General features: G+C 39.8%; 1 protein-coding gene and 1 long non-coding RNA gene across 6 annotated transcripts in view; one reads left to right on the top strand and one right to left on the bottom strand.

Annotated features, from left to right (window-relative positions):
- The window catches only part of LOC107987046 (uncharacterized), a 100,037-nt gene extending 80,122 nt beyond the window's left edge, over positions 1-19,915 (bottom strand). For both annotated transcript variants that reach the window (XR_001746614.2, XR_001746613.3), the window contains exon 1: positions 19,848-19,915. This is a non-coding gene — a long non-coding RNA (uncharacterized LOC107987046). The remainder of the gene's footprint in view (positions 1-19,847) is intronic.
- Positions 19,916-20,021: 106 nt separating this feature from the next.
- On the top strand, positions 20,022-23,538 carry TPD52L3 (TPD52 like 3). 4 transcript variants are annotated; one of them, XM_017015280.3, is made up of 3 exons: positions 20,022-20,609; positions 21,829-21,896; positions 22,623-23,538. In XM_017015280.3, exons 1-2 carry the CDS (start codon positions 20,243-20,245, stop codon positions 21,858-21,860), a joined length of 399 nt encoding a protein of 132 aa, XP_016870769.1. In that variant the 5' UTR covers positions 20,022-20,242; the 3' UTR covers positions 21,861-21,896; positions 22,623-23,538. The 4 variants fall into 4 exon arrangements, with proteins under 4 accessions (XP_016870769.1, NP_001001874.2, NP_001001875.2 ...); NM_001001874.3 differs by lacking the exon at positions 21,829-21,896; NM_001001875.4 differs by lacking the exon at positions 22,623-23,538 and having other exon boundaries at positions 21,829-22,567.
- The last annotated feature ends 343 nt before the right edge of the window (positions 23,539-23,881 follow it).

Genomic DNA, 23,881 nt, shown 5'->3' on the forward strand with positions numbered 1-23,881 from the left:
GGAAATTGAAAATAAAACTGTTCGAAACCATCCTGGCCAACATGGCAAAACCCCATCTGTACTAAAAATACAAAATTAGCCTGGCTGGTGGCGCATGCCTGTAATCCCAGCTACTTGGGAAGCTGAGGCAGGAGAATCACTTGAACCTGGGAGGCGGAGGTTGCAGTGAGCCAAAATCGTGCCATTGCACTCCTTCCTGGGCAACAAGAGCGAAACTCTGTCTAAAAAAAAAAGATAAAACCGTAATTGTAATATCCTTGACATTAGAGGTAACTTCTTTCTTAAATGAGGATGAATAGAGAAACCAAATATCAATATCAATAAATGCCCAGTAAGATCAAATATTCCATCTGGCTCTTGGAACAAAGGAATCTCCTTCCTGTTATTGGGGGGTATCTCTCCTATGCTGACATCTCCTGCCCTGCTTAAACTAGTCTGCAGGTCTGTATCCACTTTCAGCTCTCTCTCTGGCTTGAATTTGAATTAACCTCTTTGCGAGCAGCCTAAATCTCTGTTTAACACATTCATATGTATCATGTATTCTATCAATTACATCTTCTTAAAGAAGCCTTTTCCAGAGTCTTCTGAAATGCTCCAATCTGAACTAGTTGCCTTCGATGCCTTAGTGCATTACCCTCATCCTAGAGTCTACATCATTAATCCTGGGAATTCCTTTGGTCCCATCTGTATCACCCATTTCATGTACCCTAAGTCTTCCTCTTCCTTGTTTTGGTGGAGCATATCCTCCAGTAACTTTCTGAGTATGAAAAGGTCTACATGGTAGGTAAACTATGAAATTTTGCATGTCTTAAGATGTCTTTATTCTGCCTTCACTTTTGATTGATAATTTGGCTGGGTACAAAATTCTAGGTTAAATTTTAAAGGCATTGCTCCATTGCCTCCTAGATTCTACTACTGCTTTTGAAAAATCTGAGGCCATTCTGATTCCTAGCCTGTTGTATTTGACCTTTTTAAAAAAGAAAACCTCTCTTTTTCTCTAGGAATTTATAGAATCTTCTCTTTGTCTCCTGAGTTCTGAAATTTCACAGTGATGTACCTTACAAACTTAGGTTGAAATGGATTCTTTTAGTTCCAGGGAATTTTCTTGAATTATTACACTGACAGTTTTCTCAGCTCTATTTTCCCAGTTGTTTTTGGAACCTCAAGTGTTAGACCTCCTAGAATGCCTTAATTTTTTTTCTTTTCACTCTTATATTTCATTTCCTTTACTTTTTGCTCTATCATCAGAGATGTCTTCAACTTTATTGCCTAATCCTTCCATTGAGTTTATTGCTTTTGTGATCACATGTTTAGTTTCCAAGACCTCCTTTTTATTCTGTAAATATTCTTTTATAGTGTTCTCTTTTTTCATTATTATATCTTCCCTCATGTCTCTAAGAATATTAATGATAATTTAAAATTGTTATTCTTCTCCCTACATTGTCTTTATCTTTTCCAAATTATTTTTTATGTTTGTATGTTTTGTTTTCTTTCTTTTGTATATAAAGCCTTCCTCAAATGTCTGATAATCTTTGGTTGCCTTCTCATATTTAACAGTGAGGGGCTAAAAAGCTAATTGGAAGCTCTGAGTATCTGAGTAACACTTCCCACTGTGAGCTCTGTCATTAGATATTCTACAGGGCCCTTCTAGTTGGGAACTTCCAATATCAGTAGGTGATATGCCAAAAGCTGTTTGGTAGCTAACCTGTCAGCCACTCTGCCTTCTATCTTTGCTAATAGAACACTGACTTTTTTAGATAATTTGTCCAATACAAAGTATGCAATAGTCCCAAGGAAGCAGAAGCAGCTAAACAGTGTATAATACAGCATCCAAAGGGCACAGCAAAGCTTTGCCATAGATTGGGGAAGCATCAATGCTAAAGGAATGCAATCCAGGAATGGATAGCAGAGCTGAGATGACAGGTGTAACTAAAGCCACATAGGTAGCTATATCATGACTCTAGGCTATGTCTGTCCACTTGCAGCAATACTACAGGAAGTGACTGGGGAAGAGGGGAATCAAAGGAAATAGGAGGCACCAAAAAATATCAGAGGTACAGATACTGGGGAGGAAAACTGAGGCCAAAGGCTACTCTACACATAAAGCCAAGATTGAGGGATGGAAGGGAAACCTGCAACTCAGAGATTACCTATGCAGCCTGAGCTCTTTTTGGAAAGCATGCATCAGGTTGCTGGTGTTACTGATTGGACTGCCACCATCTTCAGGACTGCCTCAGGAATTGGTGAAGGCTCGAGTCTGTAGATGGGAATCATCATCTGTAGAAAGTTGGGAAAGACATTGAGCAGAGGAAATAAGACAGTGACAGACAACATGTAGAGCTTGCTAGAAAGGGAAAATAATTCATATAAGGGCAACATAGTTGAAGCAAAAGGGAAAAGACTGATAATTACTTATACACACCATTATGGCCATACCTACTATAAAATATAAAAATACTTCCTTACTAGTTGGCACATAGCAGCTCTACTAAGTCCTCAAAGTGTCCTCCTTTCCTTACCCTGCCACCTCTTAGTCCCTCCTGAGATGGTCTAGCATAGAAGGCCTCTTGGACCCTGCTTCAGCCACTGTCCATTCTGGTTGCTAATGCTCATGCATCATCAGTTATTCCATATTTTGCTATGTTCCTGAGAGGCTTAACCTACATTGTGGCTATATGTGTGCCTGTCTGAGTCATTCGATTGCATGCAAATGAACAAATTCACAAATATTTTTGCATAAGCAACCCAACCATTTAATACCTTTATAAATATGAGTGCAGAGATATTCCAAGAGGTCGTGGAAAGAATTTTCATCAATAAAGAGGTCTTTCTCATACTAATCTGAGGCAACCTGGAGGCTCTCTGGTCTACATAGCAATTCTTTATATCTTTCCAGGTCTATGAGACATCTGTAGTATTTACCAACCTAACAAGCCCCAGTAAAACAGTTTCAACTCAGGTCTTCCTGTTAAAGATGGAAGATTGAACACAAGAATGTATCTCCACATCCTCCAATAAGATCATTAAAATGAAGTAGAGGGAATTATATGCTTTTAAGGCATAATCTGTAAGGACAAAGAGATTAGGAGAAGAGACAACCACAACAAAAATGAGGAAGCTAAAAAGTAGATGGAAGAGTAGCAACCTACATGGAAGATACAAGAAATTTGAGCTGGTAGTGGAGAAAGTAAAGAATCAAAGCAAATCACACTGCATAATCACCAAAAATCTCAAGAACTGGCAGCAACAGGTGTCTCTAGAAATGAGAGGGAGAAGGGCAGTGGTGCAAAAGTGGGACTAAAAACACTGGTTGAAAATCTTGTTAAGGAGTTAGACAGCCCTACAACTTTCCCCAGACTCTAGTCAACTAACCATGGTAAAGATCACTGCAGAATGCTGAACGTTTATTCTCTGGTGAGGGCAAAACAGATGGTCTGTGGATTGAAGAGCACCAGGCACAAATGAAAGCAAGTGTTTTATACAACAAGGAGATAATTTAACAAAGCCACAGATGGCCAATAAAGATCTTTTTATTTTTAAATTTAACTATAACCAAAGAAATATAAATAAAAACAGGAAGATATTTTTCTATTAACCTGGCAAAGACTAATGATAATACCTAATATTAATGAGGACACAGAAAAACAAGCTCTCTGACATTCTGCAGGTGGAAGGTAAATTGCTAAAAATTCTTCTGGAGATGTTATATATCAAAAATCTTAAAATCGGAGCCCAGACAATCTACTTCTATGAATGTATCATATGTAAATTGGAATAGACATGTAAGATTTAAATAAAAGAATGTGTATAATAAGCAAAAAGAAAATCTGGAATCAATCTAAATGCCCAAAAGTAGATGATTAAACAATTACATATTTATACAATTAAATATCACTGAACTGTATAGTTTGCTTCTGCAACTTCAAACTGTACCCAAACTGTACTTTCTCCATTCTTTTCCACCGTATTCCATGCCCTAGAAGGCTAATCTTTAGAGATTACATCAAACAGGTTCCCTCACCCTTTGGCTTCAGGTTGGGTTTTTGCAACTTTTATGTAAATCTAAAACTATTCTAAAAAGAAAAGCTTATTTTTTAAAAAGTATGTAACCAAATAATTTGGTTTTTACTTCCCATATCCACCCATCCCTTGAAGTATTTTTTGGTGAGATGTCCAACAGATAAGCAGCCAGAGTGATATAAACACAGAGAGGGAACCAAATGAGAGACTTTGTTTCCCATGCCAGAGAACAAACTCCAGGCAAAGAGGATGGGTTTTGTCTGGTTGCTCTTAGAAAAATTCTGAAATTTAGGTAAAAATCTCGAACACAAATGAAAATAACATGTAATTTATCCAGCTCTTTTTCACCAACAAGTATGTAATTTGTGCCTTAACCTAAAGACATTTGAAAAGTTGGTACTGACAATTCTAAGTGGTATTTCCATGCTTCCTGTTCATTACAACTACAACTACATAAAACAGACCTTTCATACAGTCTTTCCCAGCACCAAAGTGCAACTGTGGGGTTTTATTCTGTAATATATTTGACACTTTCAAAAGGCAACTCTGACTAACCCCTAAGATGACAGTAGGACATCTCCTCTGTTAAGGAAAAGCCCCAAACTAGAATGTCATGGAGGGAGGCTTCCTTAACTAGGAGACACCTGAAAGGAGGGCAAGAATTAGGCAGGAGATGAGCACTCCAGGAAGACAGCAAAACTGACAAAGGCCTGAAGGTAAAAGAGCACGGTGAATGTATTAGTCCGTTTTCACACTGCTGATAAAAACATACCTGAGACTGGGCAATTTACAGAAGAAAGAGTTTAATTGGACTTACAGTTCCATGTAGCTGGGGAAGCCTCACAACCATGGCAGAAGGTAAGGAGCAGCAAGTCCCATCTTACATGGATGGCAGCAGGCAAAGAGAGAATGAGGAAGGTGCAAAAGCAGAAGCCCCTGATAAAACCATCAGATCTCATGAGACTTATTCACTACTATGAGAACAGCATGAGGGAAACTGCCCCCCATGATTCAATTATCTCCCACCAACTCCCTCTCACAACATGGGGGAATTATGGGAGTACAATTCAAGATGAGATTTGGGTGGGGACACAGAGCCAAATCATATCAGTGAACTTGCAGTTTTCAGAACTATAATAATTTGCTATGCCAGAAATATAAAGTGTATGACAGGAAATGGTAAGAAATGAGGCTAGAGAGGTAATTACTCGACTATGTTTCAGGATATATTTCAAGAAGGGGAAGTCTACTGTGAACAAATATGAAGAAAATAGTATTAAGTACATGTGCAGAAATAGACTTCAGATAGGCCAAAAGCCTGGGATGGCACACCAGAGAAACTAACCTTTGAGTCCCTCAGTGTCTCATTAAACAACTTACACTGATGATAGAATGTATAAATATGTTGTGATATATGCATTCCATGAAATATTATATGGTAGTGAAAATGAATAAACTATTGCAACTATCAACATGGATGGATATTAAAAACAATGGGCAGATCACAGAAGAATACATGAGGTATGATTCCATTTCTTTAAGATTCAAAACCAGACAAAACCAAATAATACATTGTTTACTGATACATATACATATACGTGGTAAAATCTTGTAAAGAAAAAAAAGAAATGATTGCCCCAAAATTTAGAGTAGAGATTAACTTGAGGAAACAAAAAAGAATGAGAAGGACATGCAGAGAGCTTCAAAAACATTGGAAATGTACCATTTCTTTAGAAGGTCCATTGTAAATTCCAGTAGAATAATCAAGCAAAACCACTAGTGTTTGTAGCTTGCTGCATTACTACTGTATTTCTTCAATTTTAAGATGGATGTTTTGTGACATTTTAATGTCTTTAAAATTGGGATTTGCTATGGTTTGTATATGGTTTGGTTTTTAATTTTATCTTTATTATTTAAAATTTTTTTTAGAGTCAGGGTCTCACTCTGTCACCCAGGCTAGAGTGCAGTGGCATGATCATTGCTGCAGCTTCAAACTCCTGGGCTCAAGCAATCGTCCTGCTTTACCACACCCAACTAATTAAAAAAAACGTTTTTGAGGGAGAGCTCCTGGGATAATGGTGGATGGGAGGCAGGACTAGATTGCAGCTCCAGACAGAGCAGCATGCAGAGGGTTGCATTGTGAATTTTAGCTCCAGATTGACTGCAAGAACGAACCAGCAATCCCGAGAGGACCCAGAGACCCTCTGAAGAAAGCAGGCTGACCCTGCAAGACCCAAGAAACGCCCAAATAATGTGAGTGCCCCAACTGCAGAAGTGGGAAAGGGAGACCCTCCTTTCCTGAACACACACCCCCACTGGAGAAGTTGAAGGTCTGTTTGCAGGAGAAGTTTCTGACTTTTCCTGGAGCTGAGTCAAGTTAGAGAGCCAAGTGAAATACAGGGGTAGAAGAAGCAGCAGAAAGGCCCTGGGGGCTCGCTGGGTCCCCAAGCAGCTAGTTCCTGCCTGGCACCACAGGGATCCATTGCGGGGGTGGCCAGAGGAGCAGGGGGTAAAACTCCACAGGGAGAAGGAATTCTCTAGCCTAACTTTATAACAATTTGAATGGGGTGAGAAGCCTCCTGGCCAGAACTCAGGGGAGGGCATGAATCCAGCGTGCAGACTTCACAGACAGGGGAAGAACTAAAGCCCTTTTCTTTCTCAGCTGGAAGGTGGATAGCATTGGGACAGTTTTCAAGCCCATCTTGCCCTCCACCTGGAAACAGACTAGGGGCTGTTGGGGAGGACACAGTGGGAGTGAGACCGGCCCTTCAGTTTGCATGGGAGCTGGGTGAGGCCTAAGACTGCCAGCTTTCCCCCACTTCCCTGACAACCTGCAAGACTCAGCAGAGGCAGCCACAATCCTCCTAGGTATATAACTCCAGTGACCTGGGAATCTCACCCTCATCCCCCACAGCAGCCTCAGCAAGACCTGCCCAAGGAGAGTCTGAGCTCAGACATGCCTAACCCCACCCCTACCCAATGGTCCTTCCCTATCTACCCTGGTAGCGGAAGACAAACGGCATATAATCTTGGGAGTTCTAGGGCCCTGCCCACCACTGGTCCCTCTCCACACTACTATAGCTGATGCTTTCTGGAAAGCACTACCTCCTGGCAGGAGGCCAACCAACACAAAAATAGAACATTAAATCATCAAAGCTAAGAACCCTCACGGAGCCCACTGCACCCACCACCACCTCCACCGGAATAGGCACTAGTAAGCATGGCTGAGAGACCCATAGATGGTTCACATCACAGGACTCTATGCAGACAACCCCCACCACCAGCCCAGAGCCAGGTAGACTCGCTGGGCAGGTAGACTCGCTGGGCAGCTAGACCCAGAAGAGAGACAACAATTACTGCAGTTCGGCTCACAGGAAGCCACATCCATAGAAAAAGGGGGAGAGTAATACATCAAGGGAACACCTCATGCAACAAAAGAATCTGAACAACAGCCTTCAGCCCTAGATCTTCCCTCTGACAGAGGCTACCCAAATGAGAAGGAACCAGAAAACTAACCCCGGTAATATGACAAAACAAGGCTCTTCAACACCTCCCCAAAAATCACACTAGTTCACCAGCAATGGATCCAAGCCAAGAAGAAATCCCTGATTTACCTGAAAAAGAATTCAGGAGGTTAGTTATTAAGCTAATCAGGGAGGGAACAGAGAAAGGCAAAGCCCAATGCAAGGAAATCCAAAAAATGATGCAAGAAGTGAAAGGAGAAATATTCAAGGAAACAGATTAAAGAAAAAAAACAATAAAAAATTCAGGAAACTTTTGACACACTTGTAGAAATGTGAAATACTCTGGAAAGTCTCAGCAATAGAATTGAACAAGTAGAAGAAAGAAATTCAAAGCTTGAAGACAAGGTCTCCGAATTAACCCAATCCAATAAAGGCAAAGAAAAAAGAATAAGAAAATATTAACCAAGCCTCCAAGAAGTCTGGGATTATGTTAAATGACCAAACCTAAGAATAATTAGTGTTTCTGAGGAAGAAGAGAATTCTAAAAGCTTGGAAAACATATTTGGGGGAATAATTGAAGAAAACTTCCCCAGCCTTGCTACAGACCTAGATATCCAAATACAAGAAGCAAAAAGAACACCTGAAAATTCATCGCAAAAAGATCTTTGCCTAGGCACATTGTCATCAGGTTATCCAAAGTTAAGATGAAGGAAAGAATTTTAAGAACTGTGAGACAGAAGCACCAGGTAACCTATAAAGGAAAACCTATCAAATTAACAGTAGATTTCTCAGCAGAAACCCTACAAGCTAGAAGGAGTGGGGCCCTATCTTTGGCCTCCCCAAACAAAACAGTTATCAGCCAAGAATTTTGTATGCAGTGAAACTAAGCATCATATATGAAGGAAAGATACAGTCATTTTCAGATAAACAAATGCTGAGAGAATTCACCATTACCAAGCCACCACTACAAGAACTGCTAAAAGGAGCTCTAAATCTTGAAACAAATCCTGGAAACACATCAAAACAGAACCTCTTTAAAGCATAAGTCACACAGGACCTATAAAACAAAAATATAAGTTAAAAAGCAAAAACAAAAGAAAATAAAACAAAACAAAAAACGAAGTTCACAGGCAACAAAGCACATGATGAATGCAACAGTACCTCACATTTCAATACTAACATTGAATGTAAATGGCCTAAATGCTCCACTTAGAAGATGCAGAACCACAGAATTGATAAGAACTCACCAACCAACTATCTGCTGCCTTCAGGAGACTCAACTAACACAAAAGGACTCACATAAAATTAAAGTAAAGGGGTGGGGAAAAAAGGCATTTCATGAAAATGGACACCAAAAGCCAGCAGGGGTAGCTATTCTTATGTCAGACAAAATAAACTTCAAGGCAACAGTGGTTAAAAGAGACAAAGAGGTACATTATATAATGGTAAAAGGCCTCATCCAACAGGAAAATATCACCATCCTAAACATATGCACCTATCACTGGAGCTCCCAAATTTATAAAACAATTACTAACAGACCTAAGAAACGAGATAGCAACACAATAATAGTGGGGGACTTCAATACTCCACTGACAACACTAGACAGGCCATCAAGACAGAAAGTCAACAAGGAAACAAAGGATTTAAATAATACCTTGGAACAAATGGACTTAACAGATACATACAGAATATTTCATCCAACAACCACAGAATATACATTCTATTCAACAGCACATGGAACTTTCTCCAAGACAGACCATAATATGATAGGCCATAAAACGAGCCTCAATAAATTTTAGAAAATTGAAATTATGTCAAGCACTCTCTCAAACCACAGTGGAATAAAACTGGAAATCAACTCCAAAAGGAGCCCTCAAACCCACGCAAATACATGGAAATTAGATAACCTGCTCCTGAATGAGCATTGAGTCAAAAACGAAATCAAGATGGAAATTTAAAAATTCTTCAAACTGAATGACAATAATAACACAACCTATCAAAACCTCTGGGCCCGGATGCAGTGGCTCACACCTGAAATCCCACCACTTTGGGATGCCGAGTCAGGCGGATCATGAGGACAAGAGATCGAGACCATCCCGGCCAACATGGTGAAACCCCGTCTCTGCTAAAAATACAAAAATTAGCTGGGTGTGGTGGCACTTGTAATCCCAGCTACTTGGGAGGCTGAGGCAGGAGAATCACTGGAACCCGGGAGGCGGAGGTTGCAGTAAGCCGAGATCGCACCATTGCACTCCAGCCTGGTGACACAGCGAGACTCCATCTCAAAAAAAAAAGAAACCTCTGGGATACAGCAAAGGCAGTGCTAAGAGGAAAGTTCACAGCCCTAAACACCTACATCAAAAAGTCTGAAAGAGCACAAGCAGACGATCTAAGGTCACACCTCAAGGAACTAGAGAAACTAGAACAAACCAAACCCTAACCCAGCAGAATAAAAGAAATAACCAAGATCGGACCAGAGCTAAATGAAATTGAAACAACAACAAAAAAAAACAATACAAGCTGGGCATAGTGGCTCAAGCCTGTAATCCCAGCACTTTGGGAGGCCGAGGCAGGTGGATCACCTGAGGTCAGGAGTTCCAGAACAGCCTGACCAACATGGGGAAAACCCATCTCTACTAAAAATACAAAAATTAGCCAGGAGTGGTGGCACACGCCTGTAATCCCAGCTACTCAGGAGGCTGAGGCAGGAGAATCACTTGAACCTGGGAGGTGGAGGTTGCAGTGAGCCAAGATCGCACCACTGCACTCTAGCCTGGGCAATAGAGTGAAACTCCCTCTCAAAAAACAAACAAAGAAGAAACCAATACAAAAGATAAATGAAACAAAAAGCTGGTTATTTGAAAAGATAAATAAAATTGTAGACCATTAGCAAGATTAACCAAGAAGAAAGAAAATCCAAATAACCTCACTAAGAAATGAAACAGGAGATACTACAACTGACACCACTGAAATTCAAAAGATTATTCAAGGGTACTATAAACACCTTTACACACATAAACTAGAAAACCTAGAAGAGATGGATAAATTCCTGGAAAAATACAACCCTCCTAGCTTAAATCAGAAAGAATTAGATACCCTGAACAGACCACTAACAAGCAGCGAGATTGAAATGCTAATTAAAAAATTACCAACAAGAGAAAGTCCAGGACCAGACGGATTCACAGATGAATTCTACTAGACATTCAAAGAAGAATTGGTGCCAATCCTTTTGACACTATTCCACAAGATAGAGAAACAGGAAGGAACCCTCCTTAATTCATTCTATGAAGCCAACATGACCCTAATACCAAAACCAGGAAAGGACATAACCAAAAAAGAAAACTACAGACTGATATCCTTGATGAACACAGATGCTAAAATCCTTAACAAAATACTAGCTAACCAAATCCAACAACATATCACAAAGAGAATCCACTATGATCAAGTGGGTTCCATACCAGGGATGAAGGGATGGTTTAACATACGCAAGTCAATAAATGTGATACACCACATAAACAGAATTTAAAACAAAAATCACATGATCATCTCAGTAGATGCAGAAAAAGAGTTTGACAAAATCCAGCATCACTTTATGATTAAAACTCTCAGCAAAATCAGCATACAAGGGACATACCTTAATGTAATAAAAGCTATCTATGACAAACCCACAGCCAACATAATACTGAATGGGGAAAAGTTGCAAGCATTCCCTCTGAGAACTGGAACAAGACAAGGATGCCCACTCTCAACACTCCTCTTCAACATAGTATTGAAAGTCCTAGCCAGAGCAATAAGACAAGAGAAAGAAATAAAGAGCATCCAAATCAGTAAAGAGGAAGTCAAACTGTCACTGTTTGCTGACTATAAGATCATTTACCTTGAAAACCCTAAGGGCTCCTCCAGAAAGCTCCTAGAACTGATAAAAGAATTCAGCAAAGTTTCCAGATACAAGATTAATGTACGAAAATCAGTAGCTCTTCTGCACACCAACAGCAACCAAGTGGAGAATCAAATCAAGAACTCAACCCCTTTTACGATAGCTGCAAAAAAAATACTTAAGAATATACCTAACAAAGGAGTCGAAAGACCTCTACAAGGACAACTATAAAACACTGCTGAAATAAATCATAGACAACACAAACAAATGTTAACACAACACAAACAAATGTTAACACAACCCATGCTCATGGATGGGTAGACTCAGTATTGTGAAAATGACCATACTGCCAAAAGCAATCTACAAATTCAACGCAATCCCCATCAAAATACCACCATCATTCTTCACAGAATTAGAAAAAACAATTCTAAAATTCATATGGAACCAAAAATGAGCCCATAACCCACATAGCCAAAGCAAGATAAAGTAAAAAGAACAAATCTGGAGGTATCACACTACTTTATTTCAAACTATATTATAAGGCCATAGTTACCAAAACAGCATGGTACTGGTATAAAAATAGGCACATAGATCAATGGAACAGAATATAGAACCCAAAAATAAACCCAAATGCTTACAGTCAATTGATCTTCAACAAAGCAAACAAAAAACATAAAGTGGGGAAAGGATAACCTTTTCAACAAATAGTGCTGGGATAATTGGCTAGCCACCTGTAGGAGAATGAAACTGGATCCTCATCTCTCACCTTATACAAAAATCAACTAAAGATGGATTAATGACTTAAACCTAAGATGTGAAACTATAAAAATTCTAGAAGATAACATTGGAAAACCCCTTCTAGACTTTGGCTTAGGCAAGGATTTCATGACCCAAAAGTAAATGCAATAAAAACAAAGATAAATAGCTGGGACCTAATTAAACTAAAGAGCTTTTGCATGGCAAAAGGAACAGTCAGCAGAGTAAACAGACAACCCACAGAGTAGGAGAAGATCTTAACAATCTATACATCTGACAAAGGACTAATATCCAGAGTCTACAACGAACTCTAACAAATCAGTAAGAAAAAAACAAACAATCACATCAAAAAATGGGCCAAGGACATGAACAGACAATTTTCAAAAGAAGATAGACAAATGGCCAACAAACAAATGAAAAAATGTTCAACATCACACACTAATGATCAGGGAAATGCAAATCAAAACCACCATGCAATACTCCTGCAAGAATGGCCATAATCAAAAAACCAAAAAACAGTAGATGTTGGCATGGATACAGTGAAAAGGAAACATTTCTACACTGCTGTTGGGAATGTAAACTAGTACAGCCACTATGGAAAAGAGTGTAGAGATTCTTTAAAGAACTAAAAGTAAAACTACTATTTGATCCAGCAATCCCATTACTAGGTATCCACCCAGAGGAAAAGAAGTCATTATTTGAAAAAGATACTTGCACAAGCATGTTTATTGCAGCACAATTAACAATTGCAAAATTGTGGAACCAACCCAAATGCCAATGAGTGGATCAAGAAACTGTGGTGTATATATATATGTGTGTGTGTGATGGAATACTACGCAGCCATAAAAAGGAGTGAATTAACAGCATATGCAGTGACCTGGCTGAGATTGGAGACTATTATTCTAAGTGAAGTAACTCAGAAATGAAAAACCAAACATCACGTGTTCTCACTGATATGTGGGAGCTAAGCTATGAGGATGCAAAGGCATAAGAATGACACAGTGGACTTTGGGGACTCGGGGGGAAGAGTGTGAGGAAGGCAAGGGATTAAAAGACTACAAATATGGTGCAGTGTATACTGCTCAGTTGATATGTGCACCAAAATCTCACAAATCACCACTAAAGAACTTACTCATGAAACTAAATACCACCTGTACTCCAATAACTTATGGAAAAATAAAAATAATAGTAATAATAATAATAAAATTTTGTGTAGAGAGGGGTCTTGCTGTTTCGCTCAGGCTGGTCATTGCTTGAACTACTGGCTTCAAGCAATCTTCTCACCCTTCCCAAATGGCTGGGATTACAGGTGTGAGCCACCACACTTAGCCCTGGATATGGTTTGTTTGGCCCTGTCAAGTCTCAGGTTGAAATCTGATCTCCAGTGTTGGAGGTGGGGCCTGGTGAGAGGTGTCTGGATCATGGGGATGGATCCTTCATGAATGGTATGGTGCCATTCTCAAAGGAGGGAGTCAGTTCTCCCCCTTAGTTCCCGAGAGAACTGGTTGTTGAAAAGAGCCTGGCACTTCTCTTGCCATGTGATGCTAGCTCCTCCCTCACCTTCCATCAGGAATGGAGGCAACATGAGGCCCTCAACAGAAGCCAAGCAGATGGATGCTGACACCATGCTTCTTGTACAGCCTGCAGAACTATGAGCCAAATAAATCTCTTTTCTTTATAAATTGCCCAGCCTCACGTATTCCCGTATAGCAACACAAACAGACTAAGGCAGGATTGTATCTTAAAATTAATGTACAATATAGATTTTTCCTCCTAGAAACCTCTTATTAAAACAAAGATATGTCTTACAACTGATTGTGCCTCAGAATCAAGGAAATAAAATAGTTATTATGCTATAGAAGGCATGACAGTTTTAAGACAAAAATAGCTAAGCTCCTAGGGAGTAGAGTACAGGCTGTAGTTTACTGCATTGCAGCAAATTCACCTCAATGGCCATAACCTTTAAAAAGATTGTAACTTTTCCATTAATAGCCTGATCGCCACCAGACTCGTGTATGTACAATCACAGCACTTTGGAGGCCAAGGCAGGAGGATTGCTTGAGCTCAGGAATTCAAAACCAGCCTGGGCAACATGGTAAAACTCCGTCTCTACTAAAAAAAATTTTTAATTAGCCAGATGTGGTGGCACTTGCCTATAGTCCTGGCTACTTGGAAGGCTGAGGGCTGAGGTGGGAGGATCACTTGAGCTTAGGAGCCTGCACCACAGCACTCCAGCCTTGGTGATGGAGCAAGATCCTGTCTCAAAAATATAATAAAATAAAATAAAAATGTAAAATAACCTGATTGTCCTCAGGCTTCTACAGCCTGTAGATACAAATGAATCTAATTACTCTGGCCCCCACATTTTGTTAGTTCCAACCCCTCAGTGCCAAGCTTCAGGACTTCAAGACTCCCTTCTCTGAATATCCCCAGTTACTTCTGGGAGTCCTCTATGCTCAGGACTAGCTCTTCCATGTGCTTCTGCTCTGTCCTTTCTGTAGATGTCCATTCTGTGTCCCGCCACTTGACAGAAGTATCTCCTGCTGCCACTCTTAACCCTGCACCCTGAGAACCCTACCTTCCCAGGAGAGAAAAAATATATATGCCCGATCCAGGAGATATATCTCCTGGTACTCAAAATTTGTACATCTTTCAAATAAATGTCTTGCCAAATTTTCCTGCTTAGTTAAGGGTCATACATACAGAAACCTACCACTGGCTCCTTCAAGTAATCTGGATCCCCTACAGACTTTTTAGCAACATAGTTACCTTAGTTTTATGCTACTATAACAGAACATCACAGACTGAATAATTTATAAACAATAGAAATTTATTTCTCATGATTCTGGAGGCTGGAAAGTCCAATATCAAGCCACCAGCATCTGGTGAGGGCCTTCTTGCTGCATCATCCCATGGAAGAAGGTAAAAGAGCAAAAGAACATGAGAGAACAGAGAGAGAGAGTCAAACTCATCCATTTATCAGCAACCCACTCCCAGAATAATTAACCTATTCCAGTGATAACTGCATTCATTCATTCATGAGGGCAGAGCTCTCATGACCTAACCATCTCTTAAAGATCCCATCTCTAAACACTGTTGCACTGAGGATTAACTTTCCAACACATAGGTTTTAGGGGACACTTTCAAACCATAGCAACAATCTATGCTTTTGCTGTAACTGCATGTAATTCAAGGAGAGTGTTGGTTGGGCTGAAGTGGGTGAAGGAGAGTGAGAAGCAAGTGGCAGTCTTATCCTTTTTCCATCCCCTACTCCATTTTAAGGCATCCCCCAAATTTCTAGATCATCACTAGAGAAACATACCTAGATCCACCAGTGTTTCCGCAAGCACTCCAGTCTCTGGAAAAAAATACAGTGTTTACAGATTCCTTGCTACTCTACATAGGTCTTTATATACAAAGCTTTTATGTTTCAACAAGAAGAACCCTCATTTTTTAATCTAGGGAAGTTCCTACATCATTTGATCATTTTTCTTTCCCTTCTTTCCATCCCTCATTCTCCTTATGATTCCTCTTCTACCTCTAAGACCTGAGGAAAAAAAAAAAAAAACTTCCTCCTTGAAAGCCCCTTCCTCCCTTACGTATTAACCCATGTAAATGGGCATGACAGAGGAGGGGAATACAGTTCTTCAGACACAACTGGACTCTGAATCTTAATTTGATTCCCCCAGTACCCCTACCACCATTATATACCACCAAAGAGGGTGAATAACAGCAATAAGCTCTAATGTTGATTTAATACACCGATAGTATATTTTGATGTCAGACAGGAAAATCCTAACCTATAGTACACCTAAGTATTTTTAAGCTAATTAGTCCAAATAGGAGAGCTGCTGAAAGAAAATATCATCCTCATCCTAAATGAAGATCAACTTAACCACTGAAATATGAAGACTGATAGCAGTAATGCTTGCTGTTGTAAACTGCAGTCAATATTCCTGTTCATGCTGGAGAATATGGAGAGGTGACTACATATATTATTGATGGAGCTGGGCTATGATGTGAGATAGTAGTGAAAATAACTTGCAAATTGAAATCAAATATAATATTCTGGCTTTCCACAAGAAAAGCCCAACTACCAATTTTCTCTTACTCTTAAAACATTCTGACTGGAGTAGGGTTTCAGCTATGTGCCTTATTTTCAGGCTTAATTAGATATTTAAGTATTTTTCCTTGCATTCAGCTAGAATTATAGTAGTTGAACACCAGAAAAAAAACTGTTTAAATATTAGAAATAAAGCCTTAGAGAACTCACTAGGTTAAATCTAGCAGTGCAAATGACCAGACTGCAAGGTGAGTTGTCAGTTCTTTAGAAGCAATCTGAATCATCAATGTAATCAGAAAGCTCTATATTGATCATTTATAACAAAATAAGTCAAATGGTTAAAACTGCCGGCACTGATACAAGTTCCTAATCATTTCCAAACTTGAGTATCACTCACTACGATCTAACTTCTTCTATTCCCAAATAACCCAGACCTGCTGGAGGATATGGCTTTGTTTTCATATTCAAGCTTTAGGAATTTATTTATAGAACATAATATATACAGGCTTCTACATATAAAGAGAAAAAATCATTTTATTATACCACTTACCTTTACTTTACAAAAGATCAGTGTAATCCATCACCCTTACTAGAGACATAACTCAGTTCTTTCTTTATCAAAAATGGGTCAGTGGTGTCCTCCTTGGAAACAAAGGATATCAAACCACTGTAGGATTACAAATAATCTCAAGCTTTTTCTTTATAGTTCCTGAATCAAATACTTTGGCTATTTTTAGTATTTAAATAAATAGCATCAAAAAGCTTTCAGTTTTATATGAAAAGTTTTATGAGCCTTTCTGTGTAATATAGAGGATTCCATTGTCTCATCTAGAGATGTGAAATTTTACAATTATGGGGTGAGTGTTTGGTATTTTACACCTTAAAAGGATAGCTTATACAAACAATTGGTTACTATCACTATAAATTAAATAAAATTTCATTTGATAGATCTATGTTTTCAAAACATAAATATTGTTTCGTATGTGCTTATGCATAAGCCTAATAAAATGGATTGTTCCATTGTATTACTTCTTTAGCCAGGTTTACTCAGGAGATCAGAACACTGCCAATAAGGAGCATCCTTTCCAGAGGCTATTGTCTTTTTTTTTTTCTACTTTTATTTTAGATTCAGAGGTACATGTGCAGGCTTGTTACTTGGGTATATTGTGTGATGCCAAAGTTTGGGTTATGAATGATTTAATCACCCAGATACTGAGCAGAATACCCAGTGGTTAGTTTTTCAACCCTTCCCCCACCCACCCACTTCCCCCTCTAGTAGTTCCCAGTGTCTATTGTTGTCATCTTTATGACCATGAGTATCCAATGTTTAGCTCCCATTTATAAGTGAGCACATGTGGTATTTGGTTTTCTGTTCCTGCATTAATTCACCTAGGATAATGGCCTCCAACTGCATCCATGTTCCTGGAAATGACATGATTTCATTCTTTTTTATTCCTGTGTAGTATTTCATGCTGTATATATACCACATTTCCTTTATCCAATCCACTATTGATGGGCACCTAAGTTGATTCCATGTCTTTGCTATTGTGAACAGTGCTGTGATGAACATATGAGTGCATGTGTCTTTTCAATAGGATGATTTGTTTTCTTTTGCATATACACCTAGTAATGGGATTGCTGGATTAATGGTAGTTCTGTTTTAAGTTACTTGAGAAATCTATAAACTGTTTTCCACAGTAGCTGAATTTACATTCCCACCACAAGTGTATAAGTGTATAAGCATTTCCTTTTCTCCATAGCCTTCTTAACATCTGTTGTTTTTTGACTTTTTAAGAATAGCCATTCTGACAGGTGTGAGATGTTATCTCATTACAGTTTTGATTTGAATTTCTCTGATGATTAGTGATGTGGAACATTTTCTCATATGTTTTTTCATATGTTTGTTGGCCACTTGTATGTCTTCTTCTGAAAAGTGTCTGTTCATGTCTTTTGTCTATTTTTTTTTTTTTTTTTTTTTTTTTTTTTTTTTTTTTTTGAGACGGAGTCTCGCTCTGTCGCCCAGGCTGGAGTGCAGTGGCGGGATCTCGGCTCACTGCAAGCTCCGTCTCCCGGGTTCACGCCATTCTCCTGCCTCAGCCTCCCAAGTAGCTGGGACTACAGGCGCCCGCCACTACGCCCGGCTAATTTTTTGTATTTTTAGTAGAGACGGGGTTTCACCGTTTTAGCCGGGATGGTCTCGATCTCCTGACCTCGTGATCCGCCCGCCTCAGCCTCCCAAAGTGCTGGGATTACAGGTGTGAGCCACCGCGCCCGGCCACATTATTGATATATAGAAATGATACTGAATTTATATCCTGAAACTTTACTGAAGTCATTTATCAGTTCCAGGAGCCTTTTGGTGGAGCCTTTCGGGTTTTCTGGATATGGAATCATATCATCTGAAAAAGAAATAATTTGACTTCTTATTTTCCTATTTGAATGACAGGGTATGTCTTGATGTGGGATCTGGCAACTAAGTGTCTGAAAAGCTCAGTTTTGCTATGAGAAAAAAAACCATTCTCTGTCAAAAGGAATCAAGGCTTAATAAAAGATTTCATAGTATACACTGAAGGATGAGGAAGCTTATAAAGAAAATAGGCATCAAGGTTGGTGGTTGAAATAATACAGAGAAGTAAAATCAAGTGCAAGTTCAGATTTGGTGATTTGGAGTCTCAACTTTGAAGAGACAATGTGTGTTCTATATTATGTAGCATAATTCAGGGATTTCTTTACCCTTTAGTCTCAGGTTTGAAAGAGGAGTTCTGATTCAGAGTCTGGGAGTGTTCCTGAAACCACTAGTGTTTCTACAGGCAATAGAGGAAAAGTCTACCCTCTGGAACAAATTGGTTTTTAGGGAGTCCTTGCTGCCCTTTTCAGGCCTTTAAACACATAGCCAAATCCTCCATCAGCCTTCATGTTTACAAGAACAATTCTCACTTTTTAACTTAGGGAAACACACCACTCAGGACAAGGCAATAATAAACACTACTAAATTATGTGAAAGGGTTATAGAACATAAACTCAAAGGAGGGCTGAAGTTGGTTTGAATGCACAGCTGGATGCTTCATTGTAGCCACATAGGCATGAGTAGGGCAAACTGCTGAAATTTGCTGAGGATCAAATTATGTTCCACAAGATCATGCTCGCAAGAATTACAAGAATATCCAACAAAATCACTAGAGTCTAAGACTTGCTCAAGAATATTCTCTGAGAATAGGCAGCCATAGAATGAGCTAAGTGAAGCTCGACCACAAGACCTCACTGGATTAACGTCCTGATTTTTCCATTGCATAAGTTTACTCTCGGCAGAATTACGGTTGGGGGGAGGTTGGGGTGGCAGGTTGGCAGGGGAGAGTGGATCCACACTCTGATAGATCCTATTTAACTAGTTTTACTTTACTGTGCAGACTACCTCCCACAACAGGTAACCTTGAATGTAGGCAGACATGCTTCCAGAAATGTGAGTGGAGGTAGGGCGGAATAAAGAAAATGCAACTGCAAAACTGAAAATTCATACTAGCACAATGATGTTTAAATGATTTTCAAGTGTTGGAGCTGGTGTGGTGGAAAACAGTTGCCTGACGCTTTGGTTTGAAGGCCAGGGCTTGTCATTTACCATGTCAGGAGAAATTCCTCTCTTTTCGACAATAATCTCTGCACTGCCTACCTCAGGAGGTCCTCGCAATGCCAAAATGCCGCCAGTGTGGGTTGCGCCTCAGCTGAGCACTGATTCTACAGCCTCGCGGTTTGGGCGGGAAGTCCCACCTCCGCAACCCTGACCAGCCCGGCTCCCCACCCCCACCACCCGGAAGTGAACACCACGAGCTAGCGTGTCTACTTCACAGGCCAGGTCGTCAACTCAACTGTCAAGGTGTCCATTGTACCAGCTGGGCCATGGATCCCTCCCGCCTGAAATCTGACTCCACCTGCCAAGAGTCTGAGCCTGCAGGCCTAGATTTCGACTCTGCTGGCCAAGATTATTTCTCTGCAGCCCAATAATTCGACTCTTTCTACCAAGAATTGGACCTGGACTCTCTTAACGAAGATCTTCTTTCCCAGTCCATGCCACATGCCAGGACAGAGACCTCTGTGGGCACATATGAATCCCACTCGACTTCTGAACTGGAGGATCTGACAGAGCCCGAGCAAAGAGAGCTCAAAACCAAACTCACTAAATTGGAGGCTGAAATTGTAACCCTACGCCACGTACTAGCAGCCAAAGAGAGACGCTGTGGGGAACTCAAGAGGAAGTTAGGCCTCACCGCCTTGGTAGGGCTGAGACAGAATCTGTCCAAGAGCTGGCTTGATGTTCAGGTCTCCAACACCTATGTGAAACAGAAGACATCAGCTGCTCTGTCCACCATGGGCACTCTCATCTGCAGGAAGCTTGGAGGCGTGAAGAAGTCGGCCACATTCAGATCTTTTGAAGGTCTGATGGGGACAATCAAGTCCAAAGTCTCAGGGGGCAAAAGAGCTTGGCCCTGACTGTCTTTCTTCTGCGGAGGGTGGGGTTGATCTGCTCTCAGTTTTGGGGTGTGGGGAAGACCCACTCCAGATTCCGGGGAGTGGGAATGAGCCACTCCCAGTTCTGGAGAGTGAGGATGACCATCTCCACTTTCTGGAACCAGAATGAGCCCCCTTGGTAACCTTGCCTGGTACTAAACCAGTGCAAGGACCCCCTTCCCTTATTACATTTGCAACTCTGCCCAACAAAAACAAGCAAGCAAACCACAATGGTAAAGTGGTTAATTCAGGAAATTGACAGAATCCAGTTTTGAGAAAAGAACACAGATATTTGCTGCTTTTAAGATAGAGAACCCAAAGTTTTGTACCTGGTTATTTTTCACTTAAGTTTGTAGACGAAATGTGCCATTATATTAGCTTTCCTGAGACTGTATCTAATGGGCAAGTCAGTGGCTCCAGAGGGGTCTTAGGCCAAAGCCCAAACTCTCTTTTGGAAAACTAGCTTATTAGAAAGCCAAAGTAGAGTTCTGTTTAAGCTTGAAAGAGGTATGAAGTAATCTGTAGTGTTTTTTTGGTTTGTTTGTTTGTTTTCCCTTCCCCATTTCCTTCCTTCCCTCAGTCTCAAAGTCACCTTGAAAGCTTCACCTGGCCTACAACTTTTATTTTAAAAAGATGATCAAGAAAACTTCATCTTCTCTGAGACTCAGAAAAAGAGGGGAAAATAGTGGTAGTGCACTAATTGTTACATTACTAATATAGCTTTTGTAAAACTCGTTTGTTTTCAAAGGTCTGGACTAAGCAAAACAACAGTGTCAGTTTAGGAAATTATTACTACTTTGAACACAAACTGAAATTGCAACTTTGCCTTGTGCTTTGTTTATAATTTCTTTATATATCAAAATGAGTGTTTTAAAGTTTAACCCTTGAAGCAGCATGTCTTTGCCATAGCAGCACTTCACTTAAAAGGAAGAAATTGCCTCTCTGGCAGCAATTCCTAGTTAGTTACCACCTCCAGCTGAGGGGCTGGAGGAAAACAGGTATAGCCAAATTCAAGAAAGATAAACCCCTGTCTCAAGGAACATTTTAAAAAGAACGTCTGTCCCCTGTGATGCTGGCTGTTATGCCTTTGAATGGACCTAACTATACATCTTTGCTCTTAACTCCAAGTCTGCCCTTCTTTTTAGGAAACCCTAAAGGAGAAGGAAGCAGAATATAACCCTCTGGAGAGCTCAAGACAGTAGGAACCTGGACGGTGCTTGTTTGAATTTTCTGATATCTGATTTTCACACGAATATACTTTTTGTTTGTTTTCCTTTTCCATTTTCAAAATGCCAAGATCTGGGAGCCTCTTTCACTCCTCTAGACACACTGCCTGAGATAGAAGTTTGCATCTTATTGGCTGTGGGCAGAGACTAGGACCCTTATGGGTACATTTCAGTAATCTCTCACTGCCTAAAATGGTAATCCCTCCAGCCTAAGAGGATGATTCTGTTTTGTTGACTCTTGAATGCTCCCCCAACATTCCTTTGGTTTTCCTATAAGCAAAACCAAATACCACTATAAATACAAAAGCATCTGGTAAACTGTAAAGTTACTCATGTATCCCAACCCTCCACAGATTTCTGAAGACAAAGTTTTGCTTGGATTAAAACAAGATGTTTTACTATTTTGCATGTTCGATTTTTAATTTGTTGTGTTTATCAACCAAAATGGCTTTGTATGCTGGAGAACAAGAGGTGAGCCTGCAGCATACAAGAAATGAAAGTAGTCCAACAGGCAAAGGCTTTGACATATTTCAGGAAGGCTTGTGTTAGGGACAATCTCAGACTATTATCATGGGCCAAACCTGAGAGATGTTATATTTTATTTAATAATTTCTACAACAGTAGTAAGTTTCCCCAATAAATTCTCAACTCCGTAAAAGTAGTAAAGTACATATTTATTTTTGCTGATCATTGTTTTCCCATTTCTGGCTTAGGATTGATCTTCAATAAATACACGTTAAATCAAGGAAGGAATTAACATCATATACTTCAGACATCAAATATGGAATCCAAGAGACTATCAACAACATGAACTTGTTCACAAGTTCCTTCTGCTTTTAAACAAAAATATCGTGTTTATTCAAAGCCAATCTGAGACCCTACTCTGTATCAAGAACTGTCCCAGGTTCTGAAAGCATAGAATTAGACATCGTATGTGCCCTCTAGAAACACTTAGACTTTCAAATCATTATAATTCAATGAGTCCTAAAATAGAGCTGTGTGCCAGAGATAAAAGAAGTCCTGAGGAAGGGGTGTTCAACTCTGTCTTGGTAGGTCAGTAAAGACTTTAGAGAGACAGAAAGTCTTAGAGGACTAGGAGAAGTTTGCCAGACAGACAAGAATAGAACATTCCAGACAACATGCAGAGGAACTGAGTCACAAAGGAATGTATAAGAATGGCATATTCTAGGAACTAACACTGTGGCTAGAGAGGAAGGGGAAATGGTGTTACATGAGTGAGGGAGGGGAAATGGTGTTACGTGAGTAAGAAAAAATAAGCAGGGGGCAAAATCATAAGTAGTCTTACATACTACATTAGATATCAATATTTAAGCCTGTAGGAAATGGGAGGCATTGAAGCACTTAAGTAAAAAAGTAACTATCAAATTTTTGTTTTAGATTACTCTGGTCATCAGAGAAATAGATTAAGTATTTAAGAGGTAGAATCTCTCAGACTTAGGAACCAACTGCATGAGGCGGGGCTTGGGGGGATAAATTTGCAAGATAATAAGGATGTAGAATTGAAAAGGCCTGATATTATTGAAGCTGGAGTTGCACATTCATTTTGCTTTGGCTTTTTTGTATCAGTGGTCATGGGCACCAAATAAAATGCTTCCATGAACATTTGGATTCTGGCTCTAAAGTTTCCTCGAGATTTCCTTTTTCCACCAGCTTCTACCCTTCCTATGCATTGGCTTTCTTCATCTTCTTCCCTGTCTACCCACAAAACTTGATCATCTCCACTCATCTAGGCCTATTTGGATTTTGTAGCCTAGCTTAAGTCTATTTAACTTGGCCAATTCAGGATGCTATTTTCAATAGTTCGTAGAATATGTGGATACCCAAAGATTCACATCCTTAGGTTTCGCTCAGTACCTGAGAACTACTAGATGGGAATGATACTGAAACAAAATTTCCTGAGGCTCTCAGTTTTCTGGGACTTTAATTGTCCATGTGAGTGAAGGGATTAGGA

The sequence above is a fragment of the Homo sapiens genome, chromosome 9, assembly GCF_000001405.40.
Source record: "Homo sapiens chromosome 9, GRCh38.p14 Primary Assembly".
Classification (NCBI taxonomy): domain Eukaryota; kingdom Metazoa; phylum Chordata; class Mammalia; order Primates; family Hominidae; genus Homo; species Homo sapiens.

Coding starts and splice junctions, on each gene's coding strand:
- TPD52L3 (NM_033516.6), top strand. CDS start 20,243: ATGCCACATGCCAGGACAGAGACCTCTGTGGGCACATATGAATCCCAC.